The 7835-nt window shown below is 40.6% G+C and overlaps 1 protein-coding gene across 11 annotated transcripts in view, besides 3 other annotated features; it reads right to left on the bottom strand.

Annotated features, from left to right (window-relative positions):
- The window catches only part of EXOC6B (exocyst complex component 6B), a 650050-nt gene extending 642630 nt beyond the window's left edge, over nt 1-7420 (bottom strand). For all 11 annotated transcript variants that reach the window (NR_135774.2, NR_135773.2, XR_007071495.1 and 8 more), the window contains exon 1: nt 7185-7420. Coding sequence is in view for 7 of the 11 variants with exons in the window: in NM_001321733.2 (NP_001308662.1) it covers nt 7185-7297 (113 nt within the window). In the remaining 4 variants the exon portion in view is untranslated. The remainder of the gene's footprint in view (nt 1-7184) is intronic.
- Nucleotides 6415-6925: an enhancer, noted in NCBI's record as "H3K27ac hESC enhancer chr2:73052157-73052667 (GRCh37/hg19 assembly coordinates)". NCBI's record gives its function as "activates a minimal SCP1, AML or CMV promoter by ChIP-STARR-seq in naive H9 embryonic stem cells {active_cell/tissue: H9 hESC(naive)}" and the evidence as "EXISTENCE:reporter gene assay evidence [ECO:0000049][PMID:30033119]".
- Nucleotides 6772-6821: an enhancer, noted in NCBI's record as "active region_16020". NCBI's record gives its function as "activates an Ori minimal core promoter by ATAC-STARR-seq in GM12878 lymphoblastoid cells {active_cell/tissue: GM12878}" and the evidence as "EXISTENCE:reporter gene assay evidence [ECO:0000049][PMID:35858748]".
- Nucleotides 7012-7181: a silencer, noted in NCBI's record as "silent region_11625". NCBI's record gives its function as "represses an Ori minimal core promoter by ATAC-STARR-seq in GM12878 lymphoblastoid cells {active_cell/tissue: GM12878}" and the evidence as "EXISTENCE:reporter gene assay evidence [ECO:0000049][PMID:35858748]".

Below are 7835 nucleotides of genomic sequence, written 5' to 3' on the forward strand. Positions count from 1 at the left end.
AGTGACCACATGTCACTTTCCTGCTCAAAACTCTCCTGTACTTTCCCATAATGCTCAGAATAAAAACTCTCCTGTACCTTTCCATAACATTTAGAATAAAATCAAAGTCTCTTTCTTAGTCTACATGATCTGGACCCTGACTACTTTCTTACCACCACTTCCCACCGTTATCCTTTTCCTGAGGGCCTTGGCACTTACTGTCCCCTTTGTATGGAAGGTATTTCCCTCACAGAGAGCCATATGGCTTGTTGCTTCACTCTATTCAAACCTTTGCCAAAGCTACCTTTCCTAATCCCCTAATTGAAAGCAATAACCCAGTCATTATGTAACATTAATCGCTAAATAGCACTACATTATATATTTATTCATTTATTCTGTAAGTGCCCACTCCGGACTCTATAAGCTCAATAAGGATAGGGACTTGTCTATATTGCTGCCTGCTGTACCCCAGAGCCTGGAAGAGTATCTGGCACATAGACATTGCTCAATATTGAATGAATATATGAATGAATCAATTCATTAATAAAGCCACTAAAGTGACATCATTATAATGTATAAACCTGTATATAACATGTTAACTGAAAAAGCAAGACACATAATAATCATCTAATATTTAATATAATAACATGCATATAAAAAAGTTAAGAGGAAATATAAAAATATAAAAGTGGTGGAAAGGTAATAGAATTAAGTTATTTGTTGTTGTTTCTTCTTAAGTCATTCTATTACATTTATAATTAAAATATAAAAATGTCATTTTTAAAAGGGCACTACTATTAAAAAATAAGCATGAGCAATGGGAATGTTCTTCCCCTCAGTGATTGTCAAGGACGGAGTATATCACAATCACCTGAAGGGCTTTTATATATTTATTTCCTATCTCCTCCTCCTTTCTCTGCTCCACCCCAAAATAACCCCTCCCAGGATTGATTATTGATAAGTATTATATCCCTTAGATATGTGGGACCAGGAAAAGGAAACAAAAAAAATAGGCTAACCACTAAACTAACAAAACTCAAAAAATAGAAATACTTAAGTCCACATAGCAAACCCAAGGGTAAAGGTGGAAGATGACTCACACTTGAGTGACCAATGCCTAGCAGGTACCATGGCACCCCATCTACATTGGAGGAAGAGTATGAAAAGAAAAAAGAGAGAGAGAGAGAGAAAGCATCATTCATGCTACCTGCTAGGCAGTAGTCCTAGCTTGGTACCTTGCATTGTACCATGAAGGATGCTTTATCTTCATTTTTCTAATCACTTTTTAGATGAGAAAAAATTGCCCACTTGGGTGGTAAGTTGCTTATAAAAATAAATTGATTTAATTTATTAAAGAGAGCCATGGACCTATAATGAGAAAGTGTCACGAACCAAGGATTATGATTAACTGATCTCTGTAAAGATGAATTAATGGGAGAGGGTGCTGGATGGAAAAATAAGAGCCATGTGGTCAAAGGCACAGAAGTAGTAAGTGGATGCCACATCCCCATATTCACTTATCAAATGACCTTAAATAAAACAGCCTTTTGAAAATATCCCCCTCAATTTGTTTCTTGTTTATAAAGAGCTAGCTTTATAAACAAACAACTTAAAAAAGCAAGACAGAAAATTATTCCTACACCCATAAGTAAAGCTTTGTAATAATAAAATATATAAGGCAAAGTTCTAGAAGGAAAAGCACCAAAACAACAGCAGCTGTGTTATAGAATTGTAAGCAATTTTTAATCTAGTTTCCAAATTCCATATGTTGACATACTGTTTTAACAGTGAAAAAGGTAACTGTATCATTAATATACTTTATGTTACATAAGACTGAGTAGTATGACACAAAATAATTCCAGAAGACAATAATCAGTCCCTAAAGTTATTTACCAAGATCAAATATAGGAATCAAATCATTCTTATGATACAGGAATTGAGCCAAAAAGAGAAAAACTTTCGCTGAAAACTAGAGCAAACTTCCCTGGGTGAGAATACTAAATGAAGGAAGTTAGGCTAGCTAGCAAAAATCACATAAACTCAATAACAGGGTTTTCAATGTTACATTTCTGCCACAAATAAGGAACATAAATCATGATAAGGAGATCAAAATAAATCAACCAGGAATCTGGGTTTTTTAAAAAATAAAAAAAGCAGTCAACAAATGGTGTTGGAACAACTGGATATCCACATGCTAAAGAATGAAACTGGACACTCCTCCTTACATTGTAAACAAAAATTAACTCAAAATGAATCACAGATCTAAATGTAAAAGATAAAATTATATAACACTTAGAAAAAATATAGGAGCAAATCTTCATGATCATGCATTACGCAAAAGTTTCCTAAATATAACATCAAAAGCATGAAACAAAATAAGAAAAAAAATGATAACTGGAATTAATTTAAATTAAAAACTTTTGTGCAGCAAAAGCTAAGAACATGAAAGATATCAAAAAATGGAAAAGACAAATCACAGAATAGGATATAGTATTACAAATCATATATCTGATAACAGGACATATTCAGAATACATAGAGAACTCCTACAACTCAACCAAAAAAAGAAAAGCAAATAACCCAATTTAAAAACGGGCAAAGGATCCAAAAGGGATAAACAATGACCAATAAGCACATGAAAAGAACAGCTATTACGGGAATGCAAATCAAAACTACAATGAAATGCAACTTCACACCCACAAGGATGGCAAAGTAAAAAAGATGATAACAAGTGTTGACAAGGATGTGGAAAAATTGGAACCCTGATACATTGCTACAGGAATGTAAAATGGCGCATGCACTTTGGAAAAACAGTCTAGCAGTTCCTCATAATGTTAAACATAGAGTTACCTTACAGCCTAGAAATTCCACTCCTAGGTACATACTCAACAAAAATGAAAACATATGTCTCTACAAAAACTAGTATACAAATGGCCATGGCAGCATTGTTCCACAGCCCCAAAATGGAAACAACCCAAATGTCCATCAACTGATGAACAAATAAAATGTGGTATATCCACACAATGGAATATTATTCATCGATAAAAAGAAATTAAGTACTGATACATGCTACCACATAGATGAACCTTGAAAACATTCAGTTACCAAAAAAACCCATATTGTTTGATTCCATTTATACAAAATGTCCCGATGTCCAGAACAGCCAAACCCATGAAGAAAAGTAGTGATTGCCTAGGGAGAGAGAGGGAACAGAATGGAGAGACCACTAATGGGTACAAGGTTTCTTTTTGAGTAATGAAAATTTTCTAAAATTAGGTTGTGGTGATTGCTGCACAACTCTGCGAATATACATACCCAAAACCATTTAATTGTATACTTTAAATGGGTAAATTGTATGATACATGAATTATATCTCAATATAGTTGTTTTTTAATGGCAATGTATTTCAATATTAAATTTTAAGTTTGAAAACAAAATCTTAAACAACAATTAGACTGAATGTTAATTGCTATTACCCAGAGTACCAAGTGAAGAAATGACTTCTACTGAGTAAGTGATATAAAGGAAAAGTAGAGATATAGGGATGGGATTTGAAAAATGAAAACAGGGAGCTATTGTTCATAAATGATTTGTCATCAAAATTTTAGTATTTATAACACAAAGCAGGAATGAACATTATTTTAAAAACAGGACAGGCAGGCTTTAACATCTTACAGGCCTCTTTCCAAAATTAGGACTCACAGATAACAAAATAATTTTTAAGGTAAAGACAAAGAGAGAGATAGCTACTTTCCCAAAAGAGTTTGCTAGGCAACACCCTCTTTATGTGTGGATATGCTTGGGCCTTTCAGAATTACAATGAAAAAGAAGAGGTGGTATATCCTTATGATAGATGGGAATCTACCAACATTGCATGTACAGCTCAAAACTAAAGTAATAACAGTAATATAATGAAAAAGTCAAGCCACTGTGACTCCTCAAACAAAAAGGAGTAAGACTGGAAAAAATAATCCGTATCATAGCAAAGAAAGAAAGCAAGTAATGATACACAAATAATAGCTGGCAAAGGAAAGAGTCTGGTTAGGCAATACAGCCAAGTGGATTTTTTTGAAGAGCAGGTATTTTAGGGATATACTAATCTAATATCTGCTCTCAATTTACTTTCTGTGTTCGTTAGTTTCTCTTCAGCTAGAAAACCCATCTCACGAACAGTTAAGAATCTGGTGCCTTTACAATGTTACCTCAAAAGATGAAGAAAGAGGAAAGACATACTATGAAGAAGAAAAGTTCGAGGTTTACAACTGAGAGTAGTTAAGGCAAGAGAGCTACTGCCTTAATCAAACCTGTTTCATGATAGTGATGAAAAACAGGAGATAATGACAATAGAGGCACATCCCAAGTAAGGCATGGGATCTGAAACATCAAGTCTGTGCATGCTGCTGCCTCTGAACGGGATAAGGAAAAAAGGTGAGATCATCCCCTATGAATATGGGTAGGGACAGCTAGACTAAAGACAAAGGCAGTGGGTACTCCTTGTATTATAGGATATTCAAGTGAATGAACCCTGGGTCTGACAGTAAGACTCAGTGTAATCTGCTAAAAAAAAAAAAAAAAAAAAAGTTGAGATCAAAAATGATGAGCCCATAATAATCATATAGGAAGTCAAGAAAAGCAAGTAAAACTGGTAATGAGTCTCAAACTTTCTTTTTTTTACAGTGTCCCCTTAGGGCAAAAGACCTCTTAATCCATCTATCTACACAAAACCCCACTTTTCAGTGAAAAAACTCAGTAACAACAATGAAACAAGTTTTAGGGAGACTGGGTAACTTATATTTAAACCGTAATGTATATACAGTTGACCCTCTGTATCTGCAGGTTCAACCAACTTCTCAAATCAAAGTTTTAAGAAAAAAAAAAAAAAAAAAACAAAAAACAAAAAAAAAGACAGTGGCCAGGCACAGTGGCTCAAGCCTGTAATCCCAGCACTTTGGGAGGCTAAAGCAGGTGGATTGCTTGAACCCAGGAATTCAAGACCAGCTTGGGCAACATGGTGAAACCCCATCTCTATATGAAATATAAGAAATTAGCCAGGTATGGTGGCGAACGCCTGTAGTCCCAACTACTCAGGAGGCTGAGGTGGGAGAATCACCAGGAAGTCGAGGCTGCAGTGAGCAGTGACGATTGTGCCACTGCACTCTAGCCTGAGCAACAGAGTGAGACCCTGTCCCAAAAAAAAAAAAGAAGGATGGTTGCATCCGCACTAAACATGCTACAGACATTTGTCTTGTCATTATTACCTAAACAATACAGTATAACATATATTTACATGGTATTTACATTATATTTGGTATTATAAGTAATCTAGAGATGATTTGAAGTATACAGGAAAATGTGTGTAGGACCATTGACCCTTAAGAGCTGAAGAAAATGGGAATTGAGAAAAGCACAATGGTCCTGATCATAAGGCAATGGGGGTTGGTGGAGAGACAGGCAACTGTGTGGAAGAACTGGTCCAAAAAAGGGAGCTAAAAGTCACTTTAAGGGACAAAGGGGCCAGGCACGGTGGCTCATGCCTGTAATCCCAACACTTTGGGAGGCTGGGGTGGGAGGATCATTTGACCCCAAAAGTTTGAGACCAGCCTGGGCAACATGGCAAAATCCCATCTCTACAAAAAGTTTAAAACTTAGCCAGGTGTGGTGGTGGTGCACAGCTGTAGTCCCAGCTACTCAGGAGGCTTAGGTGGGAGGATCTTAACTCAGGAAGTCAAGGCTGCAGTGAGCTACGATCACATCACTGCACTGCAGCCTAGGAGACAAAAGGGGACCCTCTCTCAATAAATGAATATTAGGTTGGTGCAAAAGTAATTGCGGTTTTTGCCATTGCTTTTAATAAATAAAGAGACAAAAGGCAAACTACTAAGGATAGTTATGACCAGGGGTGGTACTGGCAGAAATGTGCTAACAATGTGTCCTGGAGAAGGAAGCTGTGCAAGTGGAGAGGAGGAGTAATTTCCAGCCTGCCCTCCAATTAGTCTTTCCTGAGTCAACTTACCCCAAGAAAACGCAAGCAGTGAGTAATAACTTTTCTGATGGGAGGGGCAGTGACCCAAGACTGTGCAAGGAGGGTAGGATAGTTATCTATGTATTGGCTGCATGATCAGAATGCATAACAGTAAGGGATAAGGATGAGTTGGTTCTAGGACACCAGTAACATGAGGGGAAGGGGGAAAGTAGTTCAAAACTGGGCTTAGTGAGTAGTTACCAACAGTAAGTACAGGTAGCCGATAATCCCCAGCTGAGGCAAAACAGTGGTTAAGTGTCTGGGTCCAGGCTATCCGAGTAGGAATCTGAGTCCCCCACTTTATTTTCTCTGTGACCTTGGGCAAGTCACTTAACCTATCTGTGCCCTGTCTGTAAAAGGAGAGTAATAGAACCTACCTAATACGGTTGTTTTGTAGCTTAAATAAGTTGCATTTGTAAATCACTTTATACAACGTCTTGGACTTTATGTAACAAGTGCTACCTAAATTTGTTAAATAAGTTGAGGTAAGTAGGGATTTCTTTTGACATCTCCAAATAAAATGGAGATGTGCGTGCAAAAAAAAATGATAACTGGGGGGCGGCAGCAGGGTCAGTTTTCCCCAGCGATGAGGAGGCTGCACCGTGGGCGAGGGTCGTCCTCGTAACAGGGAGGCAGGGATAAAGGAGCAGCGGCTCCCAGGAGAGGGGCGCGGGTTGGGGAAACTTCCATCCAGGCCTAGGATTTCCAGGGACTCGTTTCTGAGAAGTGGCTGTGATTCTGAGGCAAGACTTTGATTTCGAGCACTAGACCATGGAGTGAAATTCTGTGTTGTCTGAAGAGCAGGACTCCTGTCTAGGGCAGGACGTAGTTAGAGACGGAGGGAGAAGGGTGATGTCCCCAGGGGGAAGATCTGCCGGGAGCCACCACCATCTGTCGGGCGCCCTCTCGTTCCCCAGCGCCGGACCAGCCTCGGAGGGAGAACGAAGGCTGCTCCTGCCCCGAGGGAGGCAGCGGGAGGGTCCTGAGTCACTGGGCTGTAGGGCGCCGGGAAGGGACCCCGCGTCGGGGCTGCGAAGGGAGACCCGCCTCGCCCGGTATGCAGGGTCTCTCCGAAGGGAGGGGCCGGCGCCGGACCTGGGGACAGCCGGCCGGAGGCCCGACCCAGAGGAGCCTGCCCCGTCCCGCCCGTTCCCGCCCCTCTGTGGTCCCGGCACCCGGGGTACCTGAGCGTGGGCCCGATGCAGGCCGTGTCAGTGCTCTCGATCTCTCGCAGGATCCGCTCGTGCTCTGCCGCTGTCTCCAGGCTCTCCGCCTCCGCCATCTTACCCCGCTCCATAGACTGGGGGCGCCCCGCAGCGCGTCCCCTCCGTCGGCTCGGCTCACCTTTTCCCTGCCCCACAATGCCGCTCCCACCACAGGCTCCACAGCCGCCCCAGCCTCTGGCTACCCGCAGGCCGACCCCTCCCTCAGGCTCGACACGCCCCCTTGCGTCACCGCGTCCGTCGGCGTTCTGCGTAATGTCCGCTGGGATTTGTAGTTCTCTGGGAAATGCTAGGTTGGATTCCATTCATTCATACATGGAATCCGCAAATACTAGTTGAAGCCCACTGTAAGCAAAAACAGTTAACGACAGTGCGTAAACAGTGATGATCAAGTCAGGCAGTGGCACTAAACCTACAAATTCTTGTTTACCACCTTTGCCACAAAGTGCCAAGGCTCCGTCGGCGCGAATAATAAAGTCTAACTTAATGTCTGACAGAGGCCTTACAGTCTAGTGGGGGAGACACGGGGAGCTGGAGAATTCAAAACTGTGAGCTGTAAGCCAGTTCCGATAATGGAGTTCAGAGATCTCTTCTGGTTGCCAAGGCTTCATA

Source organism: Homo sapiens, chromosome 2 (genome assembly GCF_000001405.40).
Source record: "Homo sapiens chromosome 2, GRCh38.p14 Primary Assembly".
Taxonomy (NCBI): Eukaryota; Metazoa; Chordata; class Mammalia; order Primates; family Hominidae; genus Homo; species Homo sapiens.